The sequence below is a fragment of the Homo sapiens genome, chromosome 18 (assembly GCF_000001405.40).
Source record: "Homo sapiens chromosome 18, GRCh38.p14 Primary Assembly".
Classification (NCBI taxonomy): domain Eukaryota; kingdom Metazoa; phylum Chordata; class Mammalia; order Primates; family Hominidae; genus Homo; species Homo sapiens.
In genome coordinates, this window is record NC_000018.10 from 55,719,184 (window position 1) to 55,744,868 (window position 25,685).

General features: G+C 40.1%; 1 long non-coding RNA gene across 1 annotated transcript in view, besides 1 other annotated feature; it reads left to right on the forward strand.

Moving 5' to 3' along the window:
- LOC105372130 (uncharacterized) overlaps positions 1-25,685 on the forward strand; it is a 177,123-nt gene that overhangs the window by 53,907 nt on the left and 97,531 nt on the right. The gene's annotated exons all lie outside the window — the stretch shown is intronic.
- Positions 2,114-2,903: an enhancer, noted in NCBI's record as "NANOG-H3K27ac-H3K4me1 hESC enhancer chr18:53388528-53389317 (GRCh37/hg19 assembly coordinates)". NCBI's record gives its function as "activates a minimal SCP1, AML or CMV promoter by ChIP-STARR-seq in primed H9 embryonic stem cells {active_cell/tissue: H9 hESC(primed)}" and the evidence as "EXISTENCE:reporter gene assay evidence [ECO:0000049][PMID:30033119]".

A 25,685-nucleotide genomic window follows, 5' to 3' on the forward strand; every position in this document is an offset into this window, starting at 1 on the left:
CCTGTATTGGGTGCATATATATTTAGGATAGTTAGCTCTTCTTGTTGAATTGATCCCTTTAGCATTATGTAATGGCCTTCTTTGTCTCTTTTGATCTTTGTTGGTTTAAAGTCTGTTTTATCAGAGACTAGGATTGCAACCCCTGCCTTTTTTTGTTTTCCATTGGCTTGGTAGATCTTCCTCCATCCTTTTATTTTGAGCCTATGTGTGTCTCTGCACGTGAGATGGGTTTCCTGAATACAGCACACTGATGGGTCTTGACTCTTTATCCAATTTGCCAGTCTGTGTCTTTTAATTGGAGCATTTAGTCCATTTACATTTAAAGTTAATATTGTTATGTGTGAATTTGATCCTGTCATGATGATCTTAGCTGGTTATTTTGCTCATTAGTTGATGCAGTTTCTTCCTAGTCTCGATGGTCTTTACATTTTGGCATGATTTTGCAGCGGCTGGTACTGGTTGTTCCTTTCCATGTTTAGTGCTTCCTTCAGGAGCTCTTGTAAGGTAGGCCTGGAGGTGACAAAATCTCTCAGCATTTGCTTGTCTGTAAAGGATTTTATTTCTCCTTCACTTTTGAAGCTTAGTTTGGCTGGATATGAAATTCTGGGTTGAAAATTCTTTTCTTTAAGAATGTTGAATATTGGCCCCCACTCTCTTCTGGCTTGTAGGGTTTCTGCCGAGAGATCCGCTGTTAGTCTGATGGGCTTCCCTTTGAGAGTAACCCGACCTTTCTCTCTGGCTGCCCTTAACATTTTTTCCTTCATTTCAACTTTGGTGAATCTGACAATTATGTGTCTTGGAGTTGCTCTTCTCGAGGAGTATCTTTGTGGCGTTCTCTGTATTTCCTGAATCTGAACGTTGGCCTGCCTTGCTAGATTGGGGAAGTTCTCCTGGATAATATCCTGCAGAGTGTTTTCCAACTTGGTTCCATTCTCCCCATCACTTTCAGGTACACCAATCAGACGTAGATTTGGTCTTTACACATAGTCCCATATTTCTTGGAGGCTTTGCTCATTTCTTTTTATTCTTTTTTCTCTCAACTTCCCTTCTCGCTTCATTTCATTCATTTCGTCTTCCATCGCTGATACCCTTTCTTCCAGTTGATCGCATTGGCTCCTGAGGCTTCTGCATTCTTCACGTAGTTCTCGAGCCTTGGTTTTCAGCTCCATCAGCTCCTTTATGCACTTCTCTGTATTGGTTATTCTAGTTATACATTCTTCTAAATTTTTTTCAAAGTTTTCAACTTCTTTGCCTTTGGTTTGAATGTCCTCCCGTAGCTCAGAGTAATTTGATCGTCTGAAGCCTTCTTCTCTCAACTCATCAAAGTCATTCTCCATCCAGCTTTGTTCTGTTGCTGGTGAGGAACTGCGTTCCTTTGGAGGAGGAGAGGCGCTCTGCTTTTTAGAGTTTCCAGTTTTTCTGTTCTATTTTTTCCCCATCTTTGTGGTTTTATCTACTTTTGGTCTTTGATGATGGTGATGTACAGATGGGTTTTTGGTGTGGATGTCCTTTCTGTTTGTTAGTTTTCCTTCTAACAGAGAGGACCCTCAGCTGCAGGTCTGTTGGAATACCCTGCTGTGTGAGGTGTCAGTGTGCCCCTGGTGGGGGGTGCCTCCCAGTTAGGCTGCCCGGGGGTCAAGGGTCAGGGACCCACTTGAGGAGGCAGTCTGCCCGTTCTCAGATCTCCAGCTGCGTGCTGGGAGAACCACTGCTCTCTTCAAAGCTGTCAGACAGGGACATTTAAGTCTGCAGAGGTTACTGCTGTCTTTTTGTTTGTCTGTGCCCTGCCCCCAGAGGTGGAGCCTACAGAGGCAGGCAGGCCTCCTTGAGCTGTGGTGGGCTCCACCCAGTTCCAGCTTCCAGGCTGCTTTGTTTACCTAATCAAGCCTGGGCAATGGCGGGCGCCCCTCCCCCAGCCTCGCTGCCGCCTTGCAGTTTGATCTCAGACTGCTGTGCTAGCAATCAGCGAGACTCCCTGGGCATAGGACCCTACGAGCCAGGTGCGGGATATAATCTCGTGTTGCACCGTTTTTTAAGCCTGTCGGAAAAGCGCAGTATTCTGGTGGGAGTGACCCGATTTTCCAGGTGCCGTCCATCACTCCTTTCTTTGACTCAGAAAGGGAACTCCCTGACCCCTTGCGCTTCCCAAGTGAGGCAATGCCTCGCCCTGCTTCGGCTCGCGCACGGTGCACGCACCCACTGACCTGCGCCCACTGTCTGGCACTCCCTAGTGAGATGAACCCGGTACCTCAGATGGAAATGCAGAAATCACCCGTCTTCTGCGTCGCTCACGCTGGGAGCTGTAGACCGGAGCTGTTCCTATTCGGCCATCTTGGCTCCTCCCTCTGAAGGTAATTTTAAACTTACTTTCTAAACTAGTATATAGGTATAAGTCTCAACTTTTTGATTCTTATTTTAATGCTTGTTTTTATTAACCTTCACTTAGATGATTGCTTAATGTATCAATAGGCTGTTCCTTTAAATATACTTTTGTCATAGTGATATCTACTATGGTATATAAGTACCCTACAGCATAATGCAAAAGGAAAGAAATGTAAATTTGAGCATTTTCTTTTTCTTTTTTTTTTGAGACAGAGTCTGGCTCTGTTGCCTAGGCTGGAGTGCAGTGGCATGATCTCAGATCACGGCAACCTCTGCATCCTAGGTTCAAGCAATTCTCATGCCTCAGCCTTCTGACTAGCTGAGACTAAAGGCACATACCACCACGTCCCGCTAACTTTTTGTATTTTTAGTAGAGATGGGGTTTTGCCATGTTGGCCAGGCTGGTCATGAACGCCTAACCTCAAATGATCTGCCTGTCTCAGCCTCCCAACGTGTTGGGATTATAAGTGTGTGCCACCACGCCCAGCTGAGTTTGAGCATTTTCTTAAAAGATCACCCACAGATAAACTGCTAATATAATTTTTAAAATACTGAGAAATTAAGAACAACTGCAAGTCTATAACATTTACAAAATACCCACTGTGTGCCGAGGACTAGATGTTATTTTAGAAATTAAAAAATCTAATAATGGAGAGAGAACATTGTAAAAATAACCAGTTAGAAAATGCAATGAAAAAATAAATCCCATATGATACTCATAAAACCTTATGAAGCTAGGAATTAGGAAATGTGTAGACCCTCTATGAAGAAGACAACTTTCCTAAAAGACATTAAAAAGAAAAAGGGAAAGAACAAATGTTCATAGGTGGGAAGGCTCAGTATTGTACCAATGCCAATGTTCCCCCACAATCCATTTTTAGATTCAATACAGTTCAACATCATAACATCATAATGGAATTACATTTTGGACTTGTCATTACTTAAAATTAAAAGACAAATTACACTGCCAAAAATAAAAAGAGATGCCAAACATTGAAGATAAAAATTACATTATATTTGAGAAATGACTAAAAATTTTAAATTTATGGGAGTCTTTGCAAACCTTGATGGAAAAATATGAATAATCCATAGAAAAAACTAACAAACAACATGTACAAGCAATTTACAAAATGACTAATAAAAGTATTAAAAATCATCTATCTCACAATCTAAAATAGAAACATTTAATAACAGAATAAAAATGTTCAGATACCAATTTGGTAAAGGTGAAAACAAACAACTTAATGTTGGCAAAGGTTTAGGAAAATAAGTTCTTTCATTTTCTTGGCCAGAAGTGTGATTCAATTTAACAAGATGGCAGTAAACCATCATATTCCCTTTAACTGAGTAACTCAACTTTGGAAATTTATATTAAGTAAATAGACATACTCCCAAAGATTTCAATAAAATAGTGTTCATAACAGACTTATTTATGACAATGAAACTTTGAAAGTTTAAAAATAAGGTGAAATATATTTATGCATGGTCTATATTTATATAATGGGATGCCAGACACTTTTTCAAGTCATTTGAAAATATTTAGGGGATAGAAAATGTTACTTATAAAGTTTTTTATTCAATAGTATTAAATTTATTTGAAAATATAAAAGCTGGCTGGGTGCAGTGGCTCACACCTGTAATCCCAGCACTGTGGGAAGCCCAGGCAGGAGGATCACATGAGGCCAGGGGTTTGAGACCAGCCTGGGCAACATGACAAAACCCCATGTCTACAAAAAAAAAAAAGCCAGGCATGATGGTGCCTGCCTGTTGTCTCAGCTACCTGGGAGGCTGAGGTGGGAGGATCGCTTCAGCCTAGGAGATCAAGGCTGCAGTGAGCTGTGATCACACCACTGCACTCCAACCTGGGTGAGAGAGTAAGACCCCGCCTTAGATAAATAAAAAATAAAAATAAAAACATAATAAAAAATATAGGCTGAGCAGGGTGGCTAATTCCTGTAATCCCAGCACTTTGGGAGGGCGAGGTGGGTGGATCCCTTGAGATCAAGAGTTAGAGATCAGCCTGGCCAACATGGTGAAAATTAGCTGGGCATGGTGGCATATGCCTGTAGTACCAGCTACTCGGGAGGCTGAGGCATGAGAATTGCTTGAACCCGGAGGTCGGAAGTTGTGTTTGAACCCTGGGGTCAGTGGTTGCAGTGAGCCGAGATTGCACCACTGGACTCCAGCCTGGGTGACAAATCGAGACATTGTCTCAAAAACAAAAAACAACAAAAAACCTCACGTGTGTGTGTGTGTGTGTGTGTGTATAATGCTAATATGCATAAGCTACCAAAAATCAAAATGTTAACTGGGCTGCTTCTAAGGGGCATGTTTATGGATTTCATTTTTCAGATTATCTTCAAAGACATATTAATTTTGTAATCATTAATTTGTGCAAAGAAGAGTGAATTTATACAAATATGCATCTATAATACAAATCACTCTAACAGTTGAGATATGTATTCTTAGAGGGACACACAGAATCATCAAGGGCAATGATTCTTAAGTAGGCTGTGAATTTGTCCCACAGGGGACGCTTGTCAATATCTGAGGACATTTTTGTAGTTACAACTAGGAGAAGGAGGAGGTTGCTATTGGTTTCAAGTGGGCAGAGGCCAGGATATAGAATGCTAAACATCCTACAATGCCCAGGCCAAAGACTTATCCAGCCCAAAATGTCAATAGTGTTGAGATCAAGGAACCCTGATGTAGTGAAAAGATCATGAAGTTAGGATTCTGAGAACTGCATTTCTCTCTAGAGTCTATCAGTACCTTACTGACTTTGAGAAAATCACTTGCGGGGGCCGGGCGTGGTGGCTCACGCCTGTAATCCCAGCACTTTGTGAGGCCGAGGCACGTGGATCACGAGGTCAGGAGATCGAGACCATCCTGGCTAACACAGTGAAACCCCGTCTCTACTAAAAATACAAAAAATTAGCCGGGCGTGGTGGCAGGCGCCTGTAGTCCCAGCTACTCAGGAGGCTGAGGTAGGAGAATGGCTTGAACCCGGGAGGCAGAGCTTGCAGTGAGCCGAGATCGCGCCACTGTACTCCAGCCTGGGCAACAGAGCGAGACTCCATCTCAAATAATAATATAATAATAATAATAATAATAATAATAATAACAATAATAATAATAATGAGAAAATCACTTGCAATCCTGTGTCTCAGTTCTCTCATCCATAAAATGGAGCTAACAATATTCTTAAAGAGGTTAGATGACTGAAAATTAGATTGTGAGAATATGTAGAGATAACAGATGTATGACAGTGTTTTGGAGGTAAATCCTATTTGAGAGTAGGAGTACTCACTAGCATTATTTTTTTCTCTTTGCTTTGAAGCAGGCTTACAAGGATTTAAGTGTTGGATAAAGGTTTTGAGGACTGTGTGAATCTGACTCTGATTAAAATGTATCTCCTGTCTTATGCATTAAACACATGAAAGAAGAATTTCCTGCAGCCCATTACAATGGTCATTAAAAAACTATGATAAATTTCAAGCACATATTGCCCTACTCTCTTTATTCTCAACTGGGAGTATTTTGAAACTATAGAAAGAGAATTTCTTTCCTACCTGAATATCCGGATCTCAGTTTTCTTGCCTTTTTCATTCTAAAAATTATAAGTTCTTTGAAACTAAAAACATTTGTCATTTTTAATAAGAAGATGCTAAATTTTTTAAAAAGGGCTTTTGTGATTTTTATTTAGAAAATCTAGAGCCAAAATTTTAGCATTTGATGCTTTATGCATTCACTAATTCCACCTAAGAAATTCTTTATTGTCCATTAAAAATTAGGCTAATAATGTTTACTTCATGGTCATCAGTATTAAATCCAATTAGACAAATAGACTATGTAGGACAGTACCTGAAATTGAGACTTGATGTGAAGAGTTAGCTCTCAATGGCTTCCCATTGTCCTTAGGATCAGAACCCAGTCTTTGACATGAACTTCTTTAATCTGGTTTCTTTTGCCCTCCTTTCCTTCAGGGGCCACTCTTCCCTTTCTACCAGGGAAGTTCCTAATCATTCTTCATGTGTCACCTGAAGGTCACTCCTCCAAGAGGATCTTCTCCGTCCTCTAGATTAGGTTAGATTCCTATCTGCAACCATAGCATCTTATACTTCCCCAAACACATTACCTTTACAATTGATTATTTCTTCAACGTTTGACTTCTCTTTCTGACTATAAACTAAGGTGGAGAAAGAGGGAGTAGAATCATATATACGTTATTCATTGCTGCATGCATATCCAGTCCTTGGATCCACATCTAGGGCATAATATGTTCTCAGTAAATACTGAGTTGAAGGGAGCAATGCATGATATGATTATAACCCTCCAAAAGTAATAACTGAAAGCTGATTCCTTCTAATAAAATGAGATATTTAATTTGCATACAGTTTTGTGGCACCTGTAACAATTGTGGCATGTGGGTTGACCTTGGACAGTATGTTGGAATTTGCTTAGGTTGCCAGAGCAGTGCCTAGAGCCAGAGGGGAGGGAAAGATGGCAGTGGAGAAAGCAGTATGGGGCCCCCAGGCCTTGGGAGATACCCTTCAGGGCTCACATTCCCTAAGGCTTTGCCTTACCTGCAGGGTTTCTGGCCAGCAGAGTTCGTATGCCAAGATGGTCCTGTGGCTGAAACAGCACTCCTGCCTGGATACCTTATGAACCCGTTTTCCATCACTTAGAACATTATCAAATTTTTTGTTACCATCAGGAAGCTATATTCTGGAGGTCTCTTCATACAGTTTCTTGGAGTAAAAATTTTTGAAGGAAATTAACTTACATTATTTTGATTAGAAATTAATAATGATTATCAAATCTATCAGAGAAGGTGGTTGTATTAATCTGTTCTCATGCTGCTATAAAGACTGGGTAATTTATAAAGGAAAGAGGTTTAATTGACTCACAGTTCTCTGCAGGGCTGGGGAGGCCTCAGGAAACTTGCAATCGTAGCAGAAAGGGAAGCAAACACATCCTTCTTCACATGGTGGCAGGAAGGAGATGTGCTGAGCAAAGGGGGAAGCCCCTTATAAAACCATCAGGTCTTGTGAGAACTCACTCACTATGACAAGAAAAGTATGGGGGAAACTGCCCCTATGATTTAATGATCTCCACCTGGTCCTGCCCTTGACCTGTGGGGATTATTACAATTCAAGAGGAAATTTAGATGGGTACACAGAGCCAAACCATATCAGTGGCTGAATATCTTTTCTCCTCTCCAACAACATACTCATATGATTTGGGGTCCTTTAGTGCCAGCTATCATCAAAACTAAGAAAAAAGGGCCGGGTGTGGTGGCTCATGCCTGTAGTCCCAGCACTTTGAGAGGCTGAGGCAGGTGGATTGCTTCAGCTCAGGAGTTCAAGACCAGCCTGGGCAACATGGTGAAACCCTGTGACATATATATATATATATATATATATATATATATATATATATATATATATATATATAGTATAAATATATATATGTATGTATATTTAGAGAGAGAGATATGTGTATATATAGAGATATATGTATATATGTATGTATATTAAGAGAGAGAGAGAGCTGGGTATGGTGGCTCTTGCTTATAGTCACAGCTACTTGGGAGACTGAGGTGGGAGGATCAATTGAGTCTTAAGACATTGAGGTTGTGGTGAGCTGTGTTCATGCCACTGCACTCAGCCTAGGTGAAAGAGTGAAGCCCTGTCTCAAAAAAAAAAAGAAAGAAAGAAAACAAAAAAATTGAGAAAAAGAACTACATTGTTGGTGTAAAACTCAACTCTGTCTTAAACCACACAACACAAAACCAAATAATCTTGTACTACTGACTGATCCTATCCCATTCCAGTTCTCCTCATTGAGGGACTTAATTTTCAGATGTACGTTTTGAAAGTTGACTACCTTTTTACAAACTTTTATTTCCTTATTTATTTTCATTTTTAAAACATGATGATATTGTTTTAACTGTATTTATGTCCTAAAATAAATACAACTTATACTTCTATGTACAACATATAAAACCAGTTTTTAATTTACTAATATGTTGAGTTTCTTTTTTCTTTTTTTTTTTTTTTGGCTCTGTCACCCAAGCTGGAGTGCAGTGGTGCAATCACGTCTCCCTGCAACCTCTGCTTCCCGGGTTCAAGCAGTTCTTCTGCCTCAGCCTCCCGAGTGGCTGGGACTACAGGCGCATGCCAGCACGCACAGCTAATTTTTGAATTATTATTATTAATATTATTTTTAGTAGAGACGGGTTTTCGCCATGTTGGTCAGGCAGGTCTCGAGCTCGAGACCTCAGGTGATCCACCCCCTTCAGCCTCCCAAAGTGCTGGGATTATAAGCTTGAGCCACCGTGTCTGGCCAACGAAAGTGTTGAGTATCTATTTACAATAAAATTGCTTACTTAAAGCAAATGAATGAGAAACATACTAAGTACAGATCATCTGTTAATAAAACAAAAATTTGAAATTGGCATATGAACGATTGAATTTAGGAATAGAGTGTTGTAAATTTTTTACAGGATAAAATACTTCCTCCTGGCTTGTAAGCAATGTGATGGGCACTTTATAACTAAAGAGAGTTTAGGCAGCATTTAAATAATCTAAAGGTCTTCATGATCTTTTGTTTCCTGTTGTATCATAAGCACTACGGCTGTTCTAACTGTAGGATCTGAAATCCTAGACCCTGGGGAGTAAAGGGTATCCACTCTTCCCCAACAAATCCAGACATTGACATATAGTGACTACCCTATGTTCCCATGTAATTTACTATTTATATGGTTCAACCTGTTATGTTAATAGTGTTAGAGACCATTTAAGGCTTCATAAAGCACTTAACAAATGGGTAACACAAAGTAACAAATGGGTCAGTGCTGAAGAGTTGTTGACAGTAAAATCACATTCTTTTGTAAAATACTACAGGGAAGAATTGGGCTTTAGAGTCTTTATTTAAACTTGAACTCTCTTTATTAGCTCTGTAACCTGAGGCAAGGGACTTAACCTCTTAAAATGGAAGTTTCTCAATCTATCAAATGAGGGATAATATTGCTTGCTGTGAGAATATGTGAGATAATACGTAGAGTATGTACAATTACATGGCTATTGTAGTTGGTTGTTATTACTACTACTAATTGTTATGGGTTGAATTGTATCTCCCAAAAAGACATGTTGAAATCCTCACCTCTAATACTGTATGTGACTTATTTGGAAATAGGGTGGTTGTAGATGTAATTAGTTAAGGTGAGATCACACTGGAGTAGGGTGGGGCACTTAATCTGATATGACTGGTGTCCTTATAAGAACGAAGGGGATATGAAGACAGGCACACAAGAAGGATGCTGTGTGATGAAGAGGCAGAGATTGGAATGGTGCAGCTGCAAGCCAAGGAACCCCAAGGATTGCTGGCCTCCTGGAAGAGACAGGAGAGAATTCTACCAGAGTTTTGGAGGGTGCATGGCCCTGTTGGCACCTTGATTTCAGACTTCCAGCCTCCAGAACTCAGAGAATAAATTTCTGTTTATTTTCGCTATCCAAAGTACTTTGTAGCAATAGTCCTAGGAAACCAATCCAATGACACTAAAGCTATAGATTTCACAAAACAGAAATCACCCACATAACAAATTCTTCCCCTTTCTCTTTTTTCTGCTTAACCCAACTTTCCTAACACCTCCTTAGTTCTCCATGCTCCTCTTTGTACTCATTTTATTTTTCCCTTATATCTTTTCTTTTTTTTTTTTTTTGAGACAGAGTCTTGCTCTGTCGCCCAGGCTGGAGTACAGTGGCGTGATCTCGGCTCACTGCAACCTCCGCCTCCCGGGTTCAAGCTATTCTCATGCCTCAGCCTCCAGAGTATCTGGGATTACAGGTGCGCACCACCACACCCGGCTAATTTTTGTATTTTTAGTAGAGGTGGGTTTTCACTACGTTGGCCAGGCTGGTCTCAAACTCCTGACCTCAAGTGGTCAGCCTGCCTCAGCCTCCCAAAATGCTGGGATTACAGGCATGAGCCACTGCACCTGGCCCCTTATATCTTTTCTAAGTTTAAAATCGTATGTTAAAAGACACTGGCTTTAAAATATGGTTTAAAAAAAGCAATTTAGCAAACAAAAAAAGCCCACCAACTAAACAACAGGACAAAACAAGAAAGGACCATGTGAGAGGTAGAAAGGGTAATTTTGCTAAGCCTGAAGGTTTGGGAAAAGAATAGATGAGTGAATAACATGAAGTAAATAGAAGTTGGACATGAAAACCATTATTTAGATGAGTACACAAATGAAACCTTCCCTTAACCGATTCTCGCAAGCCTGTGTTTAGGAAGGGAATTTTTATATTATAATTTCTACATGCTGAGTATAGTATAGAAACTAAATTTCTTCTCATTTGTTTTTCGAGATTAGTTTCTAAATTTTGTTCACTTGTGCATTTTGGAAACATTTGGGTTAGTTTTCGCAGGACAAGTCTTAACCCTTTCATAAATGAACACATGAGAATAGAAGGGTACTTTTTTGCCTGTCTCCCCAGGAAAAGTAACTACAAGCAAGACACAAAGTCTTACGAGAAGGGACAAGGCAAGCCCCTCAAGCAAATGATTCACATTCCACTCTTATGCTTCCCCTAAATCCTGGAGTGTTCTTCATCTTCAACTTCCCAGGTTCAGACTGGCAGTTTGGATTCCTTTGGTGTCTCTTTGAATCACTGGAGGATTTAGTCTTGAACATATGAGCTGTGGGAATATGCAGTGTAGATAGCAAATTTACATACGTATATATTTAATATATATTAAATTATTAAAATAATTTAAACATATTTATATGTTTAAATACATATAATATGCATGCGTATGTATATATATGTTTTTAAATTGTATTATTCTGATCATGTAATTCTAGTCCCAATTTACTAAAAAATACTGGTTTGATTTTCTTCTTTATTTTTTACTTTTTCTTTTCTTTCTCTGCCTCTATCTCCCCACTTTATTTTTCAGGAAAGGATGGAAAAGTAGGGGTGGAGGGCGAAGAGGTTGGAGAGGAGAAGGAGGCAGGGCCTGCAAACAAAATACATGAATTTAACACTTAATTATAGTTAAAGTAAGCACTATTTTGGGTCATAGGAAAACATGCTCAACGCTTCAATATAAATATTTGTAAGGGCATTGCCTACCATTTTTTATAATTATAATAAAAATTATCTTATGGTACAGCAAAAAAATTACATAAGACTGATTACTGTCCTTGAGATATCTTTTAAAAAATCAAGTATGTAGGCAGATCTAGGAATTTAAAAAAATACAGTATGCTGCTGTATTGACATCTTAACATGCAGACAATCAGATGTAATATACAAGTTTGCCTTAATTTCTGGAACATGTACATTCTTGAAAACTTCATTATTCACTGAACAAACACTTATTTGACACTTCGCATTATTTTAAGGGCCTTACAAATATTTAGTTATTTAATTTTTCTAACAATTTCATGAGTTAGGTATTATTACGCTGTATTTTAAGACAGGGAAACTGAGAAACAAAGAGGTTAAGGAACTTACCCAAGGTCACACAGCCAAGTACGGGACTCGAACCCTGGCAATCTGGCTCCATGGCTGTGCCCTTAACCACTGTGCTATGCCACATCTCACAAATCACATTTTTATTAGTCAAAATTTTTATTTCTATTTTCTTATTAGGAGAAATCCCATGGTAAATTGGAAACACAAAAGACCATTTTGTTAAGTGGATTTTTACCCATCAAATTCATCTTACATGAAAACTACTTTTTCATGATGGTTTCTCTTAAAACAAGATCTAAGTATAATTTCAAATATTATCTTTGTAATAGATACAAAATGCAAGCATACAGAATTTTCCCTTTGACATAACAAATAATTTTGATAATCACATACAGCAGACTCCTGTCTGCCATAAAGATGCAAAGCCTTATATCTGAACTTTGTGTTTAAAAATTCTAAAATTTCTTTGGCATTTCTATGCTTCATTTGAATCATGCAATATGTGATATTAAGAAGTGCTGGCTCTCAGTTTGGCCCTTTCTTTAAGAAAGGTAACCTTATCCACAGTTCTCATTTTTTTCCCTTCCCCTCTGGGTTATTTTCCTGTGGAGTAAGGGAATCATCAAGGAAGACTGCCACGTGGTAACAGAGAGCAATTTCAAACACACCCACCAGTGATGATCAGGCCACCAATGATGAGGTGACTTTCCATTTATGACTCGATAAGGACAAGTAGTATCCTTGTGTACGGATAGTGCATGTTGTAACATAGAAACTGAGAGCTCGGTTTTGAATCCAAGGCAATTTTGACTGGCTGCTAGTGCAAAAATATGAATAGTTACACTTGCAGCCAGATGACAGAGAGATGATACACATCTAGTCATATCTATATATGAAAAACCTTGTTTGGGGAATTTATAAAAAAATCACCAGAATTTCCCTACAGTTTCTAGGTGTTTTCTTTCCTATGAAACACACACAGATGCTTTTCTGTTGCTCTTGGACAAAAAGCATATGCAATGAGAACGTGTATGCTTTTCTTTCACTGCACATGCTATTTTAATGATTGGAAGTTTAGTAGAATTGCTAGGATTTGTTTGGTGCTGGATATCTTTAGGTATAAAAAGGAGAGGCGTCAGACACAGAGCTGGAGAGACTGATCTTATTCATCAAGACCCAAATTTTTTTAAAAAAAGTATTACTTTCCCTCTATGCTGTCTCCCCCACCTCAAAGAAACAACATCCTAAAACCACAAACCCTTATCTCCACTCCCATAGGACTGTGGGAGTTAGATGACTCAGGTCTTCAAAAAGAAAACACAACATCTTAGAGAACAAGCTGTTTCTTTTAGTTGGAACAACAAGACAATAGCAAACAATAATACATAATAATAGCCAAGGTAATGCCATGAGCATATGACCTCACTCCCATTGTGATTTTCCTTAAGGACTTTTCTGGGAAGGTCCCAAGAGCAGATTTTTCTAAACAGCTGTGCAATATTCTCCAGAAAGGCCCAGGTCTTTTACTTCTCCTCTTTTCATGAGTGCACTGTGATTGGAAGGAGACCAACTGAGTGAGGGTGTCATCTTCAACAATCACCAGGCTTTCACTACAGATTTCAAAAGAATGTAGCCCAACCACAGTAAGCCCTGATACAGGAGTCCTGAGAAAGATCCATTGGATTTTTGAATTATAGCTTCAGTTCTATAAAAAGTAGCAACTGTACCCACTGACAAAGCAGGCCAGTTCTCCAGTAATTTTAGCCCATGGTGTGTTACTTCTCATGTTGGCAGTTACCCGCTAGTGACCTGCTTGCTCTGGTTTTAGTAGTAGCTTTGAGCTGAGCTGGTTGATGTTGATTGAGGTATGAGAGAGGACAATTTTCAACTGCTGAAATGATGCAATGATGGCCAAGAATCAGCAAATTCCTTTCCTTCTTGAGGAGATTGGCTATTGGTTCATTTATGGCTGAGAAATTGGAGATGATCATTTCTGATGAGTCCTGGGAACACTAGTGACATCTGGGCCGCTTGGATAGTCTAGGACTTCTCCCTCCAGGACTGCTAATACCACAATGGGCAAGGTAAGGAGGCCGACATTCCTGCAATGGCCCATAGCCAGACTTTTACAGTTGGTCTCAATCTGATCAAATATAGGGTTCCTATGAGTCCTCACCCAAGAAACAAATACAGATACCATTTAGGTCAATAATAACCCTTCTGTTTGGGAAATTAAGCATCACCTTCGTTAGCTATGGGGCCCCATTTCACAAAGCATGACTGTGTGAACTGGTCTGGGTGTTGCAGGTTGATTTTCCCAGGAAGCAGACATTGAGATGGAGGTTGGCATGCAGGAATTTATTAGGCACTGTTTTGGGATCAACACCTAGGGGAGGAAAGGTAAGGAGGAGTAGGGAAGGATTTGGAAGGAGTAGTTGGGTTGTGATGCTGTCTCAGTGTAGGCTTCAGCCAATCTTATGGAGTCTGGAGGATGGGAAGACCCTTCAGAGTTTCCCATATTGGGATGAGGGGCCAGACATCAAACCCCTACTTCGGCCTATTGATTTGGGGGCAGAGGCCATTAAAAAAAATACTCAGATCTGTGTTTGCTGCCGGAACTGGGGCTGTGTATAACGTGGAAAATTAGATGGAAGTCAAAGGTGAACTTGATAAGCTCAGAGAATTTACTGGCATTTTCAAAATACATTGGAGGGTCAGAAGCAGGAAGGTGATGAAGTGATGCAGGTACACAATATAGAGCCTTAACCTGTACAGAGAATGGTTGGTGTTTACTATGCATAGGTGTTATCATGGGCAATATTCTAGGCATCATAATTAAATTATTATTTGTAATATGATTAAATTTTTAAATTCTTACAACAACTTAATGACATATATATAACTGTTCCCATCTTTTTACAGTTGGGGAAACTGATGCAGGGTTTGTAGACAGTAAAGACAAGGTGCTACCTTGGAAATCTGGACACATGGCCCAGGCTCTTGACCACTGTCTTATATTGGCTCTCCTGATGCACTTGCCCTTGCCTTTCATGCATGCCCTTCAGGGTTACATGTGACTGGACTCCATTAGGGTGGAAGAGGGTTAACAGAACTTGCAAACAATGATGTGCAGAAATGGAACAACTAGAGTGGGACTATGTCAGGGTGAGGAGGCCTGGTACTGGGAGAAACAGGATCTCATGATCCTAGAGAGGATGAAATCCAGGGTACAGGTGAAGGAATTAAATATAACAGGAAGGGACAGGATACTTACGGAGTAGGAATAAGAATAGGTCTTGTCATCTCTTAAGGACAGATAATGTTTGGCTGTGTCCCCAACCAAATCTCATTTTGAATTGTAGCTCTCCTGATTCCCATGTGTTGTGGGAGGGGCACAGAGGGAGATAATTGAATCATGGGAGCAGTTCCCCCATGCTGTTTTCATGGTAGTGAATAAGTCTCATGAGATCTGGTGGTTTTATAAGGGATTTCCGCTTTTGCTGGGCCCTCATTCTCTCTTACCTGCTGCCATGTAAGACGTGCATTTCACCTTCTGCCGTGATTGTGAGGCCTCCCCAGCCACGTGGAACTGTGAGTCCATTAAACCTCTTTTTCTTTATAAATTACCCAGTCTCAAGTATGTCTTTATCAGCAGCATGAAAATAGACTAATACAAGGACACACTGATGTAAATTTCTTTCATTTATGTGTCAATCACTTCCATCCATAATGTTGTTCTTGGTCTACTCTGGAGTCAGGCTTCTTAGGTTTGGCTGTTTCTAGCACAACTTTCTGAGATTCCACTTCTTCATCTATAAAATAGGATGGGGATTGAATAAAAGAATTCATCTGAAGTGCCTAGTACTGTGCCCAGTGCACCTAAGGCCCTGAATAAATAATGCCTATTTCCTCTCTTTAGTCATCCTCTGCTCTCCCCCATTCTATCTTTCTGTATATAATAGATGTCCGGTAGATATGTGATGATTGGCTAGGTCAAGTCTAGTCCTGTATTAATGTCTACATTCCTGTAGGCTCCATTAGGAAACTGAGCAAATTAACATATTCACAAGTGTCCCTTCATCTCCTTCCATCGAGGAGCAGCTGGTAACTAACTGCATTAGAGGCAAAGTCAAGCCTGGTGTTGACAGACACAGATTCTGCACGAGCTTTAGCAGCCGTGTCAGCACTAGACACCCAAGATGACAATTAGGAAAAAGAACAAACAACTTCAGGGAAAAAGTGTTCTTAAAAGTAGTGAGCGGCAGAGTAAACAAGCAAACAGATATAAAGGAATCAATCACTCAATCACCACTGATAGCCTGCACTGTCTGGGGGATATTATCTGTTGGATGCAGCTGTGGAAAGGTGATCTCAAGACTAGCTTTGGATTCCCAGGCCTGTCTTAGGCCCCTTCTCTAGTCCTAAGAAAAATCATTTCACCTCCTTTTTGCTTTCAGTTTCATTAATAACAGCTCACCATTATTGAGCATGTACTATATGGCAGGCATTGTTTGATTTTAATTGTAACTGTAAAAAGGAGGTACTATTGTTTAGTTCAAAGGCACATGTGGGGAAAGTGAGTCACAGAGATGTTGAACAATGCTGGCATTCAAAGCAGGACAGTTTGGTTCCACAGTTCATGTGCATAAACACCAAGCTTTATTGTCTCTTATGTGCTCAAAGGACAAGTGAAACTTCACAAAATGAGTGAAGCAAATTTGTTATTGAGTGTTTGGAACTATGCTTGGAGTCCTTGCATTTAAAGGCTGAACAATGTTAACAACTGTTAAGTGGGAAGGGTAGACTAACTTCTTCAAGTGCTTGTAACTACAAGCATGGTCCTGATGCATTTCAGTCTATTAGATGAAGTGACCTAATCTATCCTTAATACTGTATTGAAAATTACGATCGGGGATTCGTACATTGCTCATCTCGAGCTGGTGAGTGCCCAGAACAGTTTTCTTTATTCTCACAAGACTAGAATTTAATGGAACCAGCCCTCCAACTACCATGAAAGCTTCAAGACGAGGTACAACATCAGTGCACACCTGCATGTCATCAGTGAAGTCATTAAGTGAGCAGACAAGAACAGCCTGCCATCATGCCTGTTTATTGTCAACACTGAAGAGGTATTGACAGTGTTGAGACAGGCTGTCACTGAGGAAGCTGAGATTGAATCAACAACCAGCAGAACATCCACCCCAATGGAAACCCTTTCCTTGAGAAGCATCAAAACAAAATGTACAGAGGGCCCATGTATTCAGGGAATCTCCCATTTTGCTTGCTCAGACACAAAGGACATGGGTTACATGAAAAGCAGATAAAGTATTGCATGGCTGCATGAAGAAATGACTGCTGAGCTGAGTTAAAACTCAGAATGTAAGTGGGTTCAGCATCTATTTCTGTGATTTATTTATTATTTATTGAATCTTCCATCCCTCATATCTACACATCAAATAGGGAACACTAAAAAGCCATGTTATGGCCAGGCGTGGTGGGTCACACCTGTAATCCCAGCACTTTGGGAGGCAGAGGAGGGTGGATCACCTGAGGTCGGGAGTTCGAGACCAGCCTGACCAACATGGAGAAATCCCATCTCTACTAAAAAAAAAAAAATACAAAATTAGCCAGGCGTGGTGGCACATGCCTGTAATCACAGCTGCTTGGGAGGCTGAGGCAGGAGAAGTGCTTGAACCCGGGAGGCAGAGGTTGCAGTGAGCCAAGATCGTGCCATTGCACTGCAGCCTTGGCAACAAGAGCGAAACTACGTCTCACTCAAATAAATAAATAAATAAATAAATAAATAAAGCCATGTTATGACCTTGTCAAAAGAGCAGCCCATTTCCTGTTCTTCAGAACGTATTAAGAATTCACAGCATTTTTGGAGGAAGCCAAGCCTTACTCTCAGAAAGATTGCGTTAATTATGTGGGCATATTTTTAAAGGAATTGATCCTAAATGGATCACCAGCATTTTAGAATGAACATTCTTAGTGACATAAGCAACTTAGTAGATTTTGAAATAGTAAATAATAAAAAAAAAAATTCAGAGTAGCTGAGAATTCAGGTAATGTGGAAGAAATAAGGAAAATATATAATTTATTTCCATAACTGGAGTAAATGAGAGAAGAGGAAACAGAGAGAGAGCGAGCGCACGCACAGATGTGCACATTCCACTTGTGCATAAAACGTGTCCCATGTTAGCTTGGATTTCCAATGGATTAAGGGGATCCACAGTAGGTCAGCCTGTTCCAGATCTTATGGAATATAGGTGCCTCCTCTATTGTTAGAAGTTAGACTCTGCCAGCAGTGGAGGGAAAATTTTAAACACAATTACACTATCGAGATGTCTAGTCAAAGGCCTAGACCAGCCTGGCCTGAGATGATAGAATCAGAGATGGGTCATAAATCTCTGGCTGCGTCAGAGCGTTATTTGGATGCAGAATGAGTTGGTGGCCCTGGATGCGACAATAACTCCTCAGGGGTGATGGATGAGCCAGACTGACATCAGAACAGGTGAGAATATTACAAGGAATATTAACAAGAAGCTTGATGGAAGAGCCCCAGCAATCAACTCCATGGGAAAGGTTTAATTCAAATCATAAAAGACACTGTGGATAGCAGATATTTTTCTATCTGACCAATTAAAAAAGGCAGGCCATAATTGTGCACTGGTAACCTCAAAATTGTTCTAATAAGTCTATGAAATACTGTGTTATTAGAATTAAAATTTGAGCTTTGGTTTTTTTCCCAAATATTTGGTTGACTAGGTGACTACTCTCTAAATTACTGGTTGCTTTCACTTAACTACATATCCCTACAATTCATAAAGCTGTTATTGATCATAATCTTACGAAGAAGAACAGGGATTAGTTATGTTGATATGATCTGTCTGGTGTCTAGGGAAGAGTTAGTCAAAGTATGAAGCCAAATGGCACCTGAGGCCATAGTAGATGTTATCCTGTAATTCCTGTCTTGTTTCTTTCCTCCCCTTCCCTCCTCCCTTCCCCTCTCCTCTTACCTTCCCCTCCCCTTCTCTTCCCTTTCTCCTTTATTTTCTCCCTTTCCTTCTGCTTCCTATCTTTCCCTACTTCCTCCACAATTTTATCCAGTCTTCTACTCCTTTCTCTTCCTTGTCAACACTCCCTAACTTTTGGCTGTCTCCAGGCTTCCACAGGCATCACTTTGTGTCTCTGATATGACTCAGGGCTGAAGTTATGGCTGAGCTTTTAATGATTCTGAATCTCTTAGTATGGAGATTCACCTGCCTCTGGGGCCAGAAACTTGTACTTTTTGCAGTGCTGACCATCTGAGATAGGGCTAAGGAAGGATGGAGGCAACCATCCCAGACTATAGAGCCATCTGCATGGAAATGGTTGTGAAATATTGAGAGAGTGAACTGCCCAGCTGCTAAAGTTAAAAAGAATGTTTAATAGACACATGCAGGATATATCCTAGGGTTGATTTTTTCCCCTAAAATGAAGAATCCATTTCCACCTCACATTAAGTCTGAAAGCCACTTTCCTTGCCAAAAATGAAAACAAAGTATAAGACACCCATCTTATCTCTTCTGGAGCAGGCAGAACACATTATATGAGGGCAGAGCACAGAGACAACTAGCAATGTCAATAAAGGCTCCAATGAGAGAGACAAGGGCAGGGAGAGAGACAGACAGGGAGGGAGGGAGATAGTGCACGAAAGAGGTAACAGAGCTGCGGTATTGTATAAGTAGAAGTATAAACAGCTGATGTCAGACTTTTAGCACAATATGCATTGTAAGAAGCCAACTGTTCTAATGCTGTTAATAAAGACCTTACTTGTGTCATCATTGAGCAATGGAATAAGTAGAACATGCAATGGAATGCAATATAGTGTGATAAGGAATCTGATAGGCAGGAGCAGCATCCCAGCATGGACCAGTGCATGACAAAAAAGAAAGTGGGCACCTAGAGGAACCTGGATGAAACAAGAGAAATCCAGGCTTTGATCAGAACAGTGATGATTCTCTAGTAGTTACTGATAATTCCTTAATGACAGGAAATTAAGACGTGATATTCAAAATCCAATCCGGGTCCTGTGTAGTTTTCTGTATATAATTATGCTTAAGGGCCAGGCATGGTGGCTCATGCCTATAATCCCAGCACTTGGGGAGGCCAAGGAGGGAAGACCACTTGTGACCAGGAGTTTGAGACCAGCCTGGTCAACAGAACAAGACCCAATCTCTACAAAAAATAAAAATAAAAGTAATAATTATGCTTAAGATTATTTCAGAGCAGGAATAATCTTCTCAAACTTGGCTATACTTTAGAAACCATCAGGAATCTTTGATTCCTGGGCCTTAGCTCAGAACCATAGAATCAGAACACCTCAGAGTGTGAGCTGGCCATTAATATATTTTTTAAAGTCTCCAGGTGATTCAGTCAAGACTGGAAATGATGGTTATAAAGTAAAGTGTATTTTTATTTGACTTGATAATGTGAGATCAGGCCTTTGCAACAAAATTTTTGTTGTTTTCATAAAGTACTGAGCTGAGCAACCCTTTCCAAAGTGGGTCCCATAGAGCACCAGGCCTTTGACATCCCAGAGAAAAATAACTTATTATTTGGTCAAGAAGTCTGGGAAGACGATGTACTCTGCCTCACAATGCTTATTAGCATGTTACAGGCTCTGAGAAGTCCTGCAAAATTGAATTCTGCCTAATTGAATACAACTTCCCCTTTAAAAAAGAAAGACTATTTTTTTAAAGAGAAGTTTTAGGTTCACAGCAAAATTGAGAGGAAAGTATAGAAAGTTCCTATATAAATGCCAGCCGCACACATGCACAGTTTCCCCCATTTTCAACACCCTCTACCAGAGTGGTGGATTTATTACAATGGATGAACCCACATTGACACATCATTATCACCCAGAGTCCACAATTTACATTAGGGTTCGCTCTTGGTGATGTACATTCTATGCATTTGGGCAAATGTGAAATGACAGTTATCTACTATTGTTTGTATCATGCAGAATAGTTTCACCACCCTAAAAATCCTGTGTTTCCTCTCTTCCCTTTACTTTTGGGGAATACGTATTGCCACGTAGAACTGGTATTCTACACTTGAAAATCATTTTAGGGAAATTTACTTCTGAGTATGAAGACACAGAATGAGTGGACTCCTTTGGGAGTTGCAAGCATGATTCTGGGGCCAGAATGGGCAGACCAAGAAAGCCCCACAGCCTGAAGCTGGTTCAGGTGGTGATTTACTTGGGCTGCCAGGGTTTGAACCCTGACTCTGACACTTACCAGCTCTACGTCCTTGGGCAATTGACTAAATCTCAGTGTTCTTCAGTTTCCTCATCTGTGAAATGGAGAAAATTACATTTAAAAGTTTGAATATTAAATTAAATAAAGAAAAGCACAGCAAGGGAATTGAATGAACATTCACCAGTATTAAAAAGTGGAAAGCACTCTAAAGTTTTATTACATTTCTAGTTTCCTATTAAACATCATGACTTTAATGTCTCACTGACTACTCAGTCTCAGCAAGATTAAACCAGAAGTTATTTGATTTTTTCATTGAAACAAGTTTCTCTGCTTGATTTTCATATTTTTCACTCTAGTACCATCATTCTTATAGTCACTTAATCTCAAAATCTTCCTGTCATCTGTAAATTCTTTTACTTCTTGCAGTTTGAATTTAATCTCATTTCTGCTTTCTTAATTTTATTCACAATAGTCATTGCATCTACAATTCACTTTCTATTCCTGGTGCTCTCCATTCAGTACCAGGAATTTCTTTAAACCTGAACTATTGAAATAGTCTCAATTAGTTTTTCTTTTCTTTTCTTTTTTTCTGAGGCAAAGTCTCACTCTGTCACCCAGGCTGGAGTTCAGTGGCACGATCTCAGCTCACTGTAACCTCCACCTCCCAGATTCAAGTGATTCTCCTGTCTCAGTCTCCGAAGCAGCTGGGATTACAGGCGCCCACCACCATGCCCAGTTAATTTTTTCTATTTTTAGTAGAGACGGGATTTCGCCGTATTGGCCAGGCTAGTCTCAATCTCCTGACCTCATGATCTGCCTGCCTCAGCCTCCCAAAGTGCTGGGATTACAGGCTCGAGCCACCGTGCCTGGCCTAGTTTTTCTTTCTTCTAAGACCTCCAGCTTAGCAGTAGCAGGTTAATCTAATAAATGTCTTCAGCTATGCATTTGAAGTCCTGATGCCCAAGGACTTTACAGAGGAGTGAGCAAACAAACAGGTAAACAATTGCTAGCCTATGTACAATGATGAAATTTTACAACATGCTTTGTGAGTGTGAGTGAATATGGGTGAAATTGTGTGTGTCTTCTTGAGTGCAATCAATTTTCTCTGGGGAAGGAAGACTTCAAAGGGGTGTCGTTTAACTGAGTGCTTACATGGCAGACCTAGTGCAGGTGCGTGGGAATGATAGGTTAATCTGCTTTCCTTTCACATTTCCATGTGGGTCCCAACCCAACCAGCTTAACTCAGACCTCAGTAATCTTTCCCATTAGGAATCCAATTATTCTACTCCCCATTTTCCGTATATGCCTTGGCCATATACAGACCTCTCTGCTCATTCCATTTTCTCTGCTGATAATGCTCCCTTCCTCCACTCTGTCCATTTCATTCAAAAGACATCTGTTAAGCTCCTCTAGCATCTGTATGTTTTATGTGTTGAGGCACTCCTCAGATTAACAATAGAGGTGATCAGTATCTACCTTTCAACTTGTACACATCTGTGTCAATGAGATATTGTGTTTGGCTGTTACAATAGATGTTGTGTTTGGCTGTAACATGGACTAAAAAATAATGGCGAAAACAAGAGATGGCATTTTTTCTCTCATATAAGCAGAAATCTAAAGATAAGCAGCCTACAGCTGGGATGGTCAGCAGAAATCTTGGCTCATTCTAGTTCTTTGACTGTAGGCTTAAAGAAAGGCCTTTATCCTCATGCTGAAAAAATGGCTGCCATAGTTCCAGCTATTATATTGGAGGTCCCATGTATAAACAAAGAAGGAAAGTAAAGGGGCAAAAGGAGCTGCCCAGCTGAGTTAACCCCCTTTAAAGAACTTTCTGAGAGGCCCCAATTACCAGAATTGGCCTTGGACTTGGGCTTTCCAGGACCTGCCCTGGCCCTCCCCTGGCTGTGTCCTCTGCATTGAGGCCACTAGACTAAAGAAAAATGCCCACCAAGAGCCTACCCACTTCTTCTAGAGAATGCTGTGGGCACTCTGGAATTTTAGCCCACTTGTAGGTCTATGTGGGCCTCTTTCATGGGTCCATCCTTCTAACAGCAGAATGTGCCAGTGGTGCACACACCCACAGGCTAAGAGGAGATTGTACTTGGGAGGCAGGTGGGCAGAAGTGGATGAAACTTGGACTTGAGTAGTGGAATGTCCATGTGCATGTTCTTGAGTCCCCTTGTTGTATGGGTTGGAGTTGAGGGTAGAAAGAGAAAGGACCCAGGCCACTGGACTGAAAAGCCGCATGGCTTGGAACTTGAAAGAGGTGAGTATTCCAGGCCTTCCAGATATTATGAAGATATACTAGTCACAGCAGGGGTATAGAAGCTATTCTATTCAACAGCATGGGAACTCAATTTATAATCTTTAAATATTTAGGCATCTAGTATATGGACCTCTATTTGTAGCCTTGTGCCTGTCACACCAAAACCAGGGGAAGGAAGGCTTGCATGTACTCATTTCCATTTATAACTCCTTGACCATCACATGTGCGAGGAAGTGCCGTTCTCTCCCTCTCTTTAAGCTGGAAGACAAGCAATGGATATGAGATATTGAGTAGAAAGTCAGCATTTTATGCCATTTGGGTTTATGAGGGAGATTGGAAGAAAAGTCTTAGCTTTATCCCAAAGGGATTGGCATTTGCATCCCTATTGTAATAAATGGCAAATATAAAAACAGAATTCACAGAGTAAGATGCACAGGTAATTTTGAGTATACAGCAATTTGGCAGCAGGCCTTACATTAAGGATAAAGATGAATATTAAAAACAAAAAAACAAAATCCCCAAAACTTGCAACCCATCTAAAAGGAAGGTGTGTGGATGTGTGGAAATGCAGAACTGGAGCACCTAAGAGAACTGATAGTGTGCTGGCTCTTGGAGGGGTAGCCTAGGACACCCCATTGGTCAGAGAGAAGGTGCTGTGATAACAGCTTCCAAGTGGTCAAGAGAGGAATTCAGGGTGATGAGGGGTAATTGAGGTGTAGGGAGCTGCAGTGCAGGGAGGAAGCACCGTCTAAACTGACGCATGGATAATTTGATTGAGTAGGCACTTGCATGTTAAACATTCTCATTTTCACTGGTAGAAGTTAGTCATGAGCAAAATATTTTTAAATAAAGGTTACAGTAGATCCAAAAGGGAGCATTTAATGTGGTTTTGGATAGTTAGTATATAATAATTTTCTTTCTGTCTGTTGATCCCTTGGGTAATTGATGTTAACAAAAACAACCCCAAAAGATATATAATCTGCAAACATCAGTAATAAATGTTTGTGATTTGTGAACCCAGTGTTAGGACAAACTGAAAAGAACACATTTCCTTAAAAAAACAAAAAGCTTCCAATGCTGGTGATTCTTTAATAGAGATGTTCTAAGCAAGAAAGACAATCTCTCTTTGTACTTCTTTGGTGAGGAGAACAGAAACGCAAAGTGTCAATAAGGCATGGGTATTGGATAAGCCGAGAAGCTGAATGTCTTGAGTAAAGATGTGTTTCTTGCATGAATAACTTCCTAACAATCTGCTGAAGGAGTGATTTTGTATCAAGCTGAAACCCCAAACCAGCATCATTTTAATTTGCCAAGCACCTGTGAAGGAATACAGCTGCAAGGCCATGGGAAAACAATAGAAACTGTGACAGTTCATTAATATAAACCAGCAACTAGATTTATTTGGAAAAGTCATTGATATAGAATTACCCTGGAGGATGCAATGGCATTCCTGATGCAGGCCAGCAAGCAGCTAACTAAGATTATAGATGTGTGCACATCATTTGAAACCGAACAGTAATTTGGTAACTATTACGATTTATTGTGTATGTCAAACAGAATAACAAATGTGTAAAGAGCCGTGATTGCTTCAGGAAAGTTAGGTTTGTGTTGCATTCAGTTGTTTGGCTTTTTTGCATGCAAAGTTATTTTGTTTTGGAAAATCAAGATAATGGTGTTGCCTCTAAAATGATTATTTCTGGGTATAGGCATAGAAGGAAAATATGAAAGTACACATTCTTGTCTAACAACTCTGAGTCTTAGTATAATGCTGGTAACAAGTTCAAGAAGCTGTTTATTGCAATCAAATCATCGCAGTCTTGTGTCATTGGTGACCACAAATATATGAGTTATGGTAGGTAACTCATAAGCAACTGGCTTGCATAAAATGAAAGGCATCAGCAGATCTGGAGGCAGAGAAATGGATCTGCTAACCACTTACTTTTATAGCAAACAGTAAAATGTAACCGTAAAAAATGGGAGGAAAGCAAGATTCTTTCATATATTTAAAGCATCTGGGAAAATCTTGGTGTGTGACATAAAGGCAATATGCCTGTTTCACGGAACTTGTTCCCAGCCATGAGACAGGCCACATGCCTAATAATATGGGAGCTAATGAAGAGAATGCCCCCACCCCTTAATGTTTTCTCTTTCAATGGAAAGGAAAACTCAACAATCCTCCAGCTAATTTCCTTAGTTGGTTTTCTTAATCTTCTTACCACCAGTAGTTAGATTGCCTGGTATTCTTATAATCATTGGAAACTGATTAACCTGAAGAGCTGGTTTTAAAGAGTTAAGTTTTAT